At 52.7% G+C, this 12,501-nt stretch overlaps 1 protein-coding gene across 19 annotated transcripts in view, besides 2 other annotated features; it reads left to right on the forward strand.

The window, feature by feature from the left end:
• Positions 1-12,501, forward strand: part of SLC37A1 (solute carrier family 37 member 1) — an 81,805-nt gene that overhangs the window by 55,315 nt on the left and 13,989 nt on the right. For all 19 annotated transcript variants that reach the window (NM_018964.4, NM_001320537.2, XM_047440843.1 and 16 more), the window contains 6 exons: positions 4,022-4,153; positions 7,142-7,232; positions 8,879-8,941; positions 9,772-9,857; positions 10,891-10,939; positions 12,049-12,122. In NM_018964.4, the coding sequence (NP_061837.3) occupies positions 4,022-4,153; positions 7,142-7,232; positions 8,879-8,941; positions 9,772-9,857; positions 10,891-10,939; positions 12,049-12,122 (495 nt within the window). The remainder of the gene's footprint in view (positions 1-4,021; positions 4,154-7,141; positions 7,233-8,878; positions 8,942-9,771; positions 9,858-10,890; positions 10,940-12,048; positions 12,123-12,501) is intronic.
• Positions 7,290-7,419: an enhancer, noted in NCBI's record as "active region_18528". NCBI's record gives its function as "activates an Ori minimal core promoter by ATAC-STARR-seq in GM12878 lymphoblastoid cells {active_cell/tissue: GM12878}" and the evidence as "EXISTENCE:reporter gene assay evidence [ECO:0000049][PMID:35858748]".
• Positions 10,756-11,676: an enhancer, noted in NCBI's record as "H3K4me1 hESC enhancer chr21:43985802-43986722 (GRCh37/hg19 assembly coordinates)". NCBI's record gives its function as "activates a minimal SCP1, AML or CMV promoter by ChIP-STARR-seq in naive H9 embryonic stem cells {active_cell/tissue: H9 hESC(naive)}" and the evidence as "EXISTENCE:reporter gene assay evidence [ECO:0000049][PMID:30033119]".

Here is a 12,501-nt window from a genome sequence, read left to right on the forward strand (position 1 = left end):
TGTTCTCTTTCTAGATCAGGTTTTTGTTTGTTTGGTTGGTTGGTTGTTTTTTTTTTTTTTTTTTTTTGAGACAAGATCTTACTCTGTCGCCCAGTCTGGAGTGCAGTGGCATGATCTCGGCTCACTGCAACCTCCGCCTCCTGGGTTCAAGTGATTCTCCTGCCTCAGCCTCCCTATTAGCTGGGATTACAGGCACCCACCACCACACCTGGCTGAATTTTGTATTTTTTTAGTAGAGATGGGGTTTCACCATGTTGGCCAGGCTAGTCTTGAACTCCTGACCTCAGGTGACCCACCCGCCTTAGCCTCCCAAAGTGCTGGAATTACAGGCTTCAGCCACCGCACCCGGCCTCTAAATAAGGTTTAACCTTCTACAGCAGACACAGGGCCTCTCCTCTGTCAGAAAGACCCCTCCAGCATGTGTAAGGGGCTGCTCTCCCTATCTTTTTAAATTAAATAGCTTAAAGGATTAATGTACTAAACATGCATCTCACTTTTTTATTGACTGCAGAAATTTATTTGTAGTGGCTGAAATATTAGAAAAGGGAAGAATGATGTCTCGTGCATCTGGGTTCTTGGATTTTAGGGAGACAGTAGGCAGTGACTAATTCAACCAAAATGCTTTAAAATCTGTACTTACTTCTGAATTCACATTTAAACAAATCATGTCCCAGTGTCCAAAAGGCTGTCACCCCTCTCTGATGATACTGAAGCCTGCCACTTCTTCTGAATCAAGACCACAGGCCCTTTCTTCTGGTGTAGTAACTGACCCATAGAACTAGCCTTGGCTTCTAAGTATAGTTTCTCTCTTTCCTTTTCCGGCCCTCTAAGAAAGGCTGTTTACAGACTTGCCATCAAGGAGCCAGTTATGTAAGTAAAGGCACTGGCAGGCCTTATTTCAGGCTGAGGGTGACGACCACAACCGGGCGCATGCTGACCTCGCTTACGTGGCATCCCCTTTCGGCGGGCCTGCCATTGCTCTTGGGTCAGGGTAGGCGGGGAGAGTCCCCATGAGGTTGGCTGGACACCCTGGATGTCCCCTTTCCCAGAGTGACCGCTGGGCTCAGTGGGGTGTCACCCAGCCCCTGACCTCCACTCCTTTTCAGACAGAGCTGCTACACTATGTCACGTAGCAGGCAGTTTCTCAGTGGCCTCTTGAAGAGACATGTAAAGAAAGCTGGGGGGCGGGGAGCAAATGTGGGAAAGAGAATGAGGCGCTGCTGTCACTTGGCCACGTGGCGAGCCCGCAGGTCCCCGCGGGCGTTTTAGAGGATTGTCTTGGGGACGGTCGCACTTGCCATCCCTGTAGTCACTTGTCACTTTTCCTCCTTGACGTCTCTGAGGATCCTTCTGATTGGCTGTGGCTCAAGAACTGTTGGGCCCACCAAACGCGGCGTGAGCACGGAGTGGGTATTTGGAGGTTGAATGTGACTCCACCGTGCACTTTGCACGCCAAGTGGGGACTCCACAAATCTCTCTTGTGATGGCCTTTCCCAAAGGGAAGCTGCAGACAGCATCGGGTAGCGGGGTGAGCTTAGCATTTTTAGATAAAGCGATCGTTATTACGCAGTCCCCCCACATGCGTCTGTGTGTATTTTTGTTGTGTGTGGGGGCATTTTAGTAGAGGGAACCCTTTTCTCTTTGAAAGTGTAAGCCCTAAGCGTGGAGTGCACTGGCCACAGAAGCCCCCACACCCACCGGGGGCTCCACAGATCCCATTTGGGGCTCTTGGGACACAGACTGGAAACTGCTTGTTTAGAGGCAGAGGTGCCTCTTGGCCTCCAGCCTTGTCTTGGTCCACCCAGTGGCTTCTTGTTTGCTATGTAAGGAGGAGGCAGCAGCAGCCCCCTGTTTGTTTTGGAAAACCAGCCATGGCCCCACACTCTTTCCCATCTCCTCCAGGAGCAAACAACTCAGGTATGGTGGCTACAAGTCCTGTTTAAGATGAGTGGCTGTGAGCACAGGGCCCGTTCTCAGCAGAAACAGAGCCTTCTGTCTGTCTCGGGGGCTCCTTGCTGCTTAGATAAGGAGCAGAGGGTCTGTGTCTGTGGCTTTAAACCAGCCCAGCAAGTGGACCCTGAAGCACTTTACAAATCCTGCAAGGGCCGTGGGCGGCCTTTGGGCATCTGGGTCCTACCTGAGGCCAAGTAGGTCTTCTGTGTTGACCTGCGGTCACTTCTCTGCGGGTCAGAGGGTGCGCTTCTCCTGGCTAAGCGGCCTCGTTCCGCTTGACTTTTCTCCAGCTGGCTGCATTTCACCCACTGCTGAGCCTGTTTCCTGCGGAACGGCCTGTGAAGTCCTGTAGCCCTCAGCTTGCTATGAGTGGAACTCGCCTGGGGCTGCCCCAGGGACTGCTTCCGTGGGGCTGGGGGAATTCGAGGCTTCTCAAAGCCCCCCGAGGAGATTCCAGTGCTTAGCCACAGTAGAGCATTACTGATGTAGTTTTCTAAACTGGACGATTAGCAGAATTCATGAGAGAAAAGTTTATTCAGAAACTCAAGTCGCCATTCTTTGCTTTCACGTGCCGTGATGGGATTATCATCGGGAGCATGTTAGGCATCTGCACTCAGCCTTGTCATCTTCATTCCAGAGCACCTGACTATGTGGCCACATGTGAATATCTTCATCAGAGACCCGCTCTCCATGCCAGAGTCCTAGCTGTGAAGCCGGGCTTCCTGGGGCACGTAGACGCTGGGCTGCCCCCAAGGCCACCCACTGGGTGCCCACACTGGGCTGCACTCGGTGCCACCTGCCACCCGGTTTCCAAATGTCTGTTTTCCACTGGAAGAGAATTCTAAATATTCTAAATATCAAGGGGCAGGGGAATGTGGAATACATTACCATTTTCTTTTTTTTTTTTAATTAAACTACATTTTTAGTCCAACTTATAACAGGTTATAGTGAGATAAGTACCACAAAGCCTGTTTGATTTTGTGAAAGGTCTGAGATACCTAGAAGCATTTCTTTGTAAGACCTTGAACCTCATAGCTCACTCATGAAGAATATTTTTATTTTATTTTCATTCTTTTTTGAGACAGGGTCTTGCCCGGGCTGAAGGACAGCCGCACAATCACAGCTCACTGCAGCCTCCACCTCCTGGGCTCAGGTGATCCTCCTGCCTCAGCCTCCAGAGCAGCTAGGACTACAAGCGCATACCACCACATTCCACTATTTTTTTTTAGGTCTTACTGTGTGGCCCAGGCTAAGATTATTTTTATGTTATCCTTGCTCTGACTTGAAATCCCACTCTAGGTTGGGGAATCACTCTTCTTTGCTTTAATGAATGTACACTTTGTCCTTTAGGAACGTCTAGACAATCAGAATTCATAAATATCAGAATAGGTGTATTTTAAAATAATGTTGGTGTATTTTAAAATAATGTTATTTCTGGTCATATATGGCCATTGTGAACTCCTAAAAAATGCAGGATCATGTAAAGAATTTCTTATTAGCATTTCGATAAAAATTACACATAATTCCACCACTCGCTGACAACCATTGTTGGCTTAGATTTTAGCTTCTTTCTTTCTAGAAATAGATCCTATAGTTGCCTAGTTACATACGTAGATATTTAAACATTCTTTGAGGTTATAATGACATGCAGTTTTGAATGATGTGTTATTTAATGTGTCATAAGCATTTTCCGTCATTAAAATCTCCCAACCTTTTTTTTACAAGATGTCATTCGTATGGATGTATTTGAATTTTCTATTTTTTCTCAATGATGATGTGACATCCATTTTACTTTATAAGTATCTTTTTACTTTTCAAATTATTTTTTGCCAATAGATTCCTAGAATTTCTGGATCAGAGGATCTGTGTACCTAGCCGTTCATGAAAATGCATGAATGCTAATCATTCTAACACAGTGGCCAGGTGGGAATGTCACCCAGGATGTCTCCAAGGCAGTGGAAGAGAGAGCCGCCAGGCACCCTCGTCATTAGGAAGCCTGGCCCCACTTCACCCAGACTGCCCGGCTGGTAACACCTTTCCTTTTTGTTCCCAATGGATTTGCCTCCAGGACCCAGAGATGCAGTGCCTGCTGCTCTCAGATGGGAAGGGCTCCATCCACCCGAACCACGTCGTCATTCTCCCCGGGGACGGTGGGAGTGGCACGGCCGCCATCAGCTTCACAGGGGCCTTGAAAATTCCAGTAAGTAAACGTGCCCAGGAGGAGTTTCAGAAAGGGCTGCTGTGCTGGCTGTGGGAAGTCTGGTCGGTTGATGATTAAGCTTAAAAAGACATCTGTGGTTGTAGAACCCGGGGATTCGAATCCATAGCCAAAGCTAGACGCTGCACAGTGCTAGCTTCAGGACTGAATATGGCTGCAGTGATATTTGTTCGCCTCATACCATGTTTAAATTTTTTTTGAAATTCGTTTTCTCCATTTAGAAATTCAGGTTCATAGAAAAATGGGGCTCCCTGCCTTCACTGGAAAAACGGAAAGCCTGGCACCCTGGGCCTGCCCCCATGTGACAGGTTGGGGAACTGAGGCCCTGACTACTGTGCCACCTGGCCCCTGTGGCCCGGCCCCTCCCCAGTGCACTTGCCCTCCCACAGGCCTTGAGCGTGAGCCCATGGGAGGCGCTGGCACTGAGTGCTGCGCCGTGGCCTTCGCGAGCCCGGCTGGATTCTCTTTCCCTTTAAAGTGCCTTTAGGCTGGGCGCAGTGGCTCACGCCTATAATCCCAGCACTTTGGGAGGCCGAGGCAGGCAGATCACCTGAGGTCAGGAGTTCAAAACCAGCCTGGCCAACATGGCAAAAACCGGTCTTTACTAAAAATACAAAAATTAGCTGGGCGTGGTGGCAGGCGCCTGTAGTCCTAGCTACTCAGGAGGCTGAGGCGGGAGAATCGCTTGAACCCGGGAGGCAGAAGTTGCAGTGAGCCAAGATTGTGCCACTGCACTCCAGCCTGGGTGACAGAGCAAGACTCTGTCTCAAAAAAAAAAAAAAACCCAAAAAGTGCCTTCAGTGCCACAGCCCGTGGTCTGATTGCCCGTGTGTGTGAGCAGAGGATGCCAAGAGTGAGGGGGAGGATGCAGGGACCAAGGGAAGAACGAGTAGCACAGGCGGGAGAAGCCCTCAGAAGCTGGACCGGGCTGGTCCTCGGTGGTGCTGCTGGCCTTGCCTCCAGACTAGAAGGGCGTGATCAGCGGGTGATCAGTATCGGGAACAAGGTGACTTGGAGCAGATGAGCGGGAGGGGCACTGTAGGGAGATTTCTTGCTGCTTTCAGTTTTTATTACATTGATGGACTCTCTCAGCAGAGAATCTAAGGAGCTGTGCACAGGGTGTGGAGACACTGTGTTCTTCCGATGGGGGCAGAGGGCTGAGAGCAGGGGCGTGGGAGGGAGACCAGACCCTGCTGTGTGGGCTGGGCAGGCTGTCCAGGGTGGGCTGTCCAGGGGGCGCTGTCCAGGGTGGGCTGTTTGGCGGGGCTGTCCAGGCCGTGCTCTCCAGCACTGACAGCCACAGCACCAGGGAGCAGACACAGCTCTCGCTTGTTGACACAACCTAGAGAAAGGCAGAGGGCCAGGGGCACAGGCCCGAGGCCCCTCAGCAGGTCAGGGCTGGAAGTATAAACAATGCAACCCAGACCTCAAAATCATATCACAGAAATTAAAGACTGGGGAGAACCTTGGCTTCAGAACAGAAAGTATTCCAGTGCCCAGGAGAAACTGGGTCTGCAGAGGTGGACCCTGGAGCCAGTGTTCAGCCAGAGGAGAACGTCCCAGCCCAGGGTGGGCACCAGCTTATGGGGAAAGGGCTGTGCATGCTGGCCTGTGGAAGCTGCTGGGTTTAAGTAAAAAGATTTGTTTTTAATTGTGTCCTTAATGCTAGTGACCTTTTCTGCTGTACCTTCCTCTGTAGCTACCCCCAAATACTTGTACCAAAAGTAGGGTGCACACTAGCATAAAAATACAGGTTTTTATATAGTGGAGGTATAGACAGTATGGGCTTCAGAGGTCCCGCTCAAGCCTCCCCCTGCCACCGCCAGGCTGAGTGTTCAGGCAAGTGTGGCACACTCTGAGCCTCCATGTCCTCATCTGTCACACGGGTTCCATCCCTGGGGTAATACCATATGTTGTTCTGAGGATGAAGTGAGGTCATTTAATGACAACTAAGCACAATGCCAGGCCCATGAAAGGCATACGGTAAATTACACGTACACATCCTCATCAACTGTGAAGACATCAACTCGTTTCATTTTAGAATGACTTGGCAAAGTAGAGCGCTGGGTTCCCCCGGCCCCCATTCTGATTGATTTCCAGTGCACAGACGGCTGGGGGATTCAGTGCCACAATGTTACTGGATTTCTCACTCTGAATTTTCAGATGGCATCTGGAATTTTTATCTCACAAGTGCCACCTCTTTCTAAAAGTAGACATAAAACAAACACAAACAGGCATTTTACAGAACCCACCACTCGATTTCCTCACTCATACCTACGTGTCTCTTTTCACTGTTTTCCCTGATACGGACTGGTCTGTAGTACTCACAAGGCGGGATGCGGTAGCCTGTACGCCTGTGTGCTGACACAATGGTCGGAATTGTTTCATCTGTGTGTTTCCAGGTGGCTTGATAATGTACAATGATTTCAGTTCCAGGGAAGAAGAAGGAGCCATTCGATACTCAGTCCACTGCACCCGGCTATACGAGAACTCTTTTAATAGCTAAGTTTTCCAGGCGATGTAGTATGAAAATCAAACCCGTCCATGTTTGCATTGACTCGACTCTGATGTAAAGACACTGGGTTTTGATCCTGAACTCCATTTCGAAATTCAGAAACGCCGTAGATAAACAGGGCTTCCTGTCTTCACTTGAAAAGTAGAAAATCTGGCCACGCTGGGCCTGCACCCCATGTGACAGTGGCCGAGGAGCTGCAGCTGGGGCCCCACCCTTCTCAGAGGCCCCGCCCCTCCCTGGTGCCCCTGCTCGGGGTGAGCGCTCCACTGTTCCCGCGTCCTCACTACACCACACAGCGGTGCAGCACCCTCCCCAGTACGTGTCTGGAGGTGCTAAAGCCAGACCAGAGACAGGATGTCTTTATGGGAGCGAAGTCATATTTAACTCTGTTGCATGTTTACACACACCTGCTGACTCCACATTTGGAGGAGACGCCTGACTGCTCTCTCTTTCAGGGCGTGATAGAGTTCTCACTGTGTCTGCTGTTTGCCAAGCTGGTCAGCTATACTTTCCTCTTCTGGCTGCCCCTGTACATCACGAATGTGGGTGAGTATCCACGCTAGAACACATTAAATTCCGCACAGTGACTGGGGTCCGAAGTCTCTTCTGTCTGCTGGTTTCTAGAGTATTGAAAACACAAGGTCATGAAGGGTGATTTGAGAGGTACACCTTTGAATAAAGTACTATGATGAAACATAGGCTAAAAGAATTCAGATATGCACATTGTATTGCCATAATGGTAAACTTTATGGGGCTTCACGGTTGACACGTTCTATCCCAGCTAGGGCTACCAGTTCATGAGGTACTTCCTGTTCTGGGGCAGCCTGCGTTTAAACGTGGGCTACACTGAACTTTGGATCATAGCAGCCAGTGAGCAGAAGCAGAGCCTTTGGGGACCTGAGAAAAGAAATCTCTGATACTCTGACCTGGAAATGGCTTCTGGGAGATAGCGTCTCATTTTTGGCAGGGCCGACAGTTTGCTTTATGTTTCAGAAGCCCCGCAGTGGCTGCAGCTATAGATTATCAGAAAACGTGCCAGTGAAATAGTAACATGCCCCCCCCATGTCATGTGTGAACACAGGACAGACAAGAGGAGATGAACAGTGCTTAAGGGAAGGAGCCGTTGAGTGGGGAAATTGGAACCCTGGCTGAGAGGAAGCGGGGATGGTCCAGGAGCACGTGGAGGGCTCTTCGCCCCGGGAGCCAGAGAGAGCGAGAGGAAGGAGAAGACACACGCTGGGCCGTCAGGGAGGGGCAGAATCCGGCAATGTCTCAAAGAGGAGGCCTTTGAGAATGGGGGAGGCTGAGGAGCACAGACCACCTATTCTGGGGATGCAGATCCCACCAGAGGAGGATGCTGGCAGCACGAGGCTGGAGACTGAATACCCTGGGAGGGAAGTTGAGGAGGCGGTCTGGGGACTGTCCCACAGCCTAGCAGGGACAGGGCCTGCCCCAAGGGCCAGTGACTGGGGAGGCAGCAAGGAGCACCCTTGGATCCTGAGGTTCCTTCCCTGCCTTGTGACCCCCGCCTCACTTTGGCCAGTGAGCTGCACACAGCTGGGCCTTCTTTCTCCCTTCTTCCCCTGTGGTTGCAAAAGGGGTGACGTTCTCAGGACTTGAGTCTTGAACTGCTGACATTTCCAGTCTGTTTGAAAAAAGCAAAATTTTCTGTCCATGCCATTGATGATTCGGAACGGCTGGGTTTGACCCACAGCCCCAGATGCCGTGCAGTTTCCTCTCCCACACCCGGCTGGCTCAGTCCACCTTAAAGCCCAGAACCTGTACAAAACCTCATGGAGGGCACCCTGAGCTGGTGCCGGGAGGCCTCTGTGTCCTCATCTGCAGTTCTAAAGCCGTGTGACAGGATGATCGAGCATCCAGGCGCCTTCCACACCTCCACTTCTGTCCTGTGTTAATCTAACTTTATGGCGGAGGGGCCCCTGGGGGGGTCTCTGAACCAAAGGTGGGATAATTAGACTGAGCAGAGGAAAGCCACGGTTTTTGGTTAAGAGTGTTTTCATCCTTTCTGTGTTACTTGTTTTTTAAATCTGAGTTAACTACTAATTGCTCCTCGGTATAAATCAAGCTTATGAAGCCAGAGTCCCGTGCACGGGTCCTGTTCTGCCATGGTGTGTCGCTGCGATGCGTGAAGGAGATCCTCACTGTTTCACACTCCGTTGTCATTTCAATAGATCACCTTGATGCCAAAAAGGCGGGGGAGCTCTCCACCCTGTTTGACGTGGGCGGAATCTTTGGTGAGTTCATTAAGACTTGTTCTGCTGCAACAATAATTTCGCAAGGCGCATGATCTCTGAGTTGATTCACTGCTCAGGGGAACAGGGTTCCCCAAGGTCTCATATCCCCTGAGTGGGCCCAGCCCAAGAGGGTCAGGCCGTCACCTGGGGGTGGTTTTATTGTCTCCCGTCCCTCCCCAGGGCCCTGACTCTGCACTTGAACAGCTTCCCTCAGAAATAGCATGCCAGCTGGACTCAGGGGCTCATGCCTGTTATCCAGCACTGTGGGATGCTGAGTTGGGAGGATCGCTTGAGGTCTTCTTGTTATGAAGACCAACCCAGGCAACATAACAAGACCCCTCTCTACAAAAAAAAAAAAAAAAGCATAGCTGGGTGTGGTGGCTCGAGCCTGTGGTTCCAGCCTTGGGAGGCTAGGATGGGAGAATGGCTTGAGTCTGGGAGGTTGAGGCTGCAGTGAGCCATGATCATGCCATTGTGCTCCAGCCTGGGTGACAGAGTGAGACCCCATCTCAAAACTAAAACAAAAAAAGCAGCAGCATGTCTCCTGGGCAGGTGACAGACTGGCCACCTTAGTACCTTGATAGGTAAAGGGGCTTCGAGGCTGGCCTAAAACCTGAACCTGCAGATGTCTCCAAGACTCTCACATCTGACCACAACCAATGGAGGCCTGTGGGGAGGTCAGGGCTGTGAGAAGGCTGCCTGCCCGTGATGCATGGAGAGAGGGGCTTGGGAAAGGAGGAGGCCGTTCTCCGAGCTCCTGCAGTTCTGCTTCCTCCCCGTGGGCTCATGCCCTGGGACGTCAGTGCCTGAAGCCCGCCTCTCCGTTGCAGGTGGGATCCTGGCAGGTGTGATCTCAGACCGACTGGAGAAAAGGGCCTCCACCTGCGGCCTGATGCTGCTGCTCGCGGCCCCCACGGTCAGCCGTGCTGCCTTCCCTGGGCCCCAAAGCCTGCAGACAGTCCCCCACTGTCCTCCTCGCCAGCCAGCATCCTTCCATCTGGCCCGTGCTCCACTTTCCTGACAAGCCCGCTTCATTCCCTCTCATGCCTCCTGTCCCCCGACCCCTCCCTTGGCACCTGCAGGCCTCCACCAGGCTCCCTCTGCCACGTGCACAGCTGCTGCTGGTTTAGCATGGGCCGCGCGCAAGCTGCTCCTCTCTTTGGGGTGCCCCCTTGCCCCAGACAAGCTCCTGCCCATCCTTTGGGATCCGCAACACCTCCCCAACCTCTTAGGCATCGTTGACACCTCCCGTCATGATGCATGGTGCATAGTGCTTTTCAGGCATTTCGTAGCTCCTGACCTTGGGCTGTGACACCCCCCTCTATGCCCCAGTTCCCTCATCTGGAAAATGGGACGTCAGTATCACCACCTTGCAGTGGGTTAGAAACAATGCACATGGTTACTGTTTTTATCATCGTAACATTAGAGGTAACAGGCTTGTCAGTGGACGCTGTAGCTCTGCGCGTCTGCCCCTCCGCTAGCCCCAGAACAAGGCCTGGCTTTCAGCCATCTTGGGGTTCTGGACATGGCCCAACACAGAACATGAAAGAATGCTGAGTGAAGAAATGCTTGGGTGGGCCCCTTGCTGCCACTGGGGGGTGGGCAGCCTGAGGACTTGGCAGTCAGACTCGCAAATCAGGAGCTCAAGAAGGCAGCCCCTTGGCTGGGTAGGAGCTCAGGAAGGCTGCCCTTGGCTGGGGGTGTAAGGTGGGAGCACCCTGCAGACTTCCCCAGGTCGCCTGGGGTGCTTGGTCCAAAGCCCTCGTGGTGGGGACAAGGCTCAGTACCTGAGACGGGAGGGGGCGTGGCCGTCACGCTTTTTTAGGGGTTTCCACTCTTGGGATGGCTGCCTGAGAATCACCCGCCGGGTTTTTGAGAAGTAGATTTCCAGCAATCTCGCACTGCTTGCAGCCAGCCATGGCTTTGACCTTGTGTCTTGATGTCCACAGCTCTACATCTTCTCCACCGTCAGCAAGATGGGGCTTGAGGCCACCATCGGTGAGTATGGAGGCCTTCCTGCTTTTCTTCCACACACGTTTTTAAAGTTCACACAGCTGGCAAGATGAAATACTAAAATCAACAGGCGCATTGAGCTGGTTTAACTGGAGCACATGGTGTGGCTAAAATTGTCCGTGTCCTCCTTTGGGCAAGACCATCTGGAGAGGCCGGGGTCTCCTCTCCCCAGTGCGAGGCTTGCCATTCTGTGGGTTTCACTGTGAGCTGGAAGTGTGCAAGCCTGGTCTGGGGCAGTGGCCCTGGGCACTCAGTGGAGAAGCCAGATGTGACCTTGAGGGCAGCCCCTCCTGGGGCCTTGGTGGGGCTGGCGGGGCTGCAGCAGCCTGCGACCTGCCACCTGCACCCTGCACCCCTGGTGGTGAGAGCAGCTCAGGCTGGCTCTTGGGCCACGTCAGGTAGCCAGGAACCTGGCGGTGTGACCTGAACAGGGTCCGGCCAGGAGCCAGGGCAGGTGGCCCCCCAGCCACCTCCTCCCAGCTTTGTCAGCTGCCCCTCCAGGAGCGGTTGCGTAACCTTGGAGGACTATTTTGAACACCCTGCAGGCAGCGCTATCAAACTATGCCTCCAGCACTTAGAAGTATGCTTTCTGTCCTAATGAGCCAGCAGTGGGGATGTGTGGTCCCCTTAAATGTTATCCAGAAGGCAGCTTGCCCACAGGAGAGGAAGCGGAATTTCCTGTGACCCCCCCTCAGGCCAGAAGCTTCCTCACCTGAGTGTGAGCCTAGAGGAGAGTTTAGGAAATGACCTGGTCCGGAGAGAGGGTGGGGGTCTGCCCTCAGCGAGCACCACAGCAGCTGTGGGTGAGGAGAGGAAGGCCTTTCTGCTGCAGATGAAGCAGGGGTCAGCCCAGGCCCAGGGTCCGGCCTGTGATCGCTCCCTCATGGTGGCAGCTGCTGCCCTTCGAGGGTGGATGAGCCTGAGTCTTAGGGAGGGTATGATTTGCTTTAGCTCCTCACTAGACAAGTTTAGAGGAAGCTGTTTCTGCTGCATCCCCTCCCTGTGCTCCCCAGGCGCCCACCTCAGGCTGCTCCTATGCATGCGGGGCTCTCTGGAGGGCACATTTCCATTCTTTGCCCCTCTGCCTCCCACAGCCATGCTGCTGCTCAGCGGAGCCCTGGTCAGTGGGCCCTACACACTCATCACCACCGCCGTCTCCGCCGACCTGGTGAGTAGAACCGGGAGAGACACCAGCCCTGTGGGCACCCTGCCATGTGCCATTCATGACAAAAGTGGCCTCCATTACTGTTAGTAAAACTGCATTTGCAGAAGCACGTTTTTGGCAGCTCACCTACACCTGTGGTCTCCAGCCTTCCCGCACCTGCCCCGCTGCTCACCCTTCTCCTAAAATCATGGGCAGGTTGGTGCAAAACTCACCGTTCAGCACAACAAAAGGCTCTTGGGCGCCATCCTCATGACTCAGGCGCCTTTTCAATCCAAGGGGGCAGGGGAGAGGTCCTGTCCTGGACGCCTCTGCAGAGAGAGAGGGGCCACGAAGAGGCGCTGGGGGATTCGGCCCTTCTCATCCAGGTACCATGCCCTGCCTT

The sequence above is a fragment of the Homo sapiens genome, chromosome 21, assembly GCF_000001405.40.
Source record: "Homo sapiens chromosome 21, GRCh38.p14 Primary Assembly".
Classification (NCBI taxonomy): domain Eukaryota; kingdom Metazoa; phylum Chordata; class Mammalia; order Primates; family Hominidae; genus Homo; species Homo sapiens.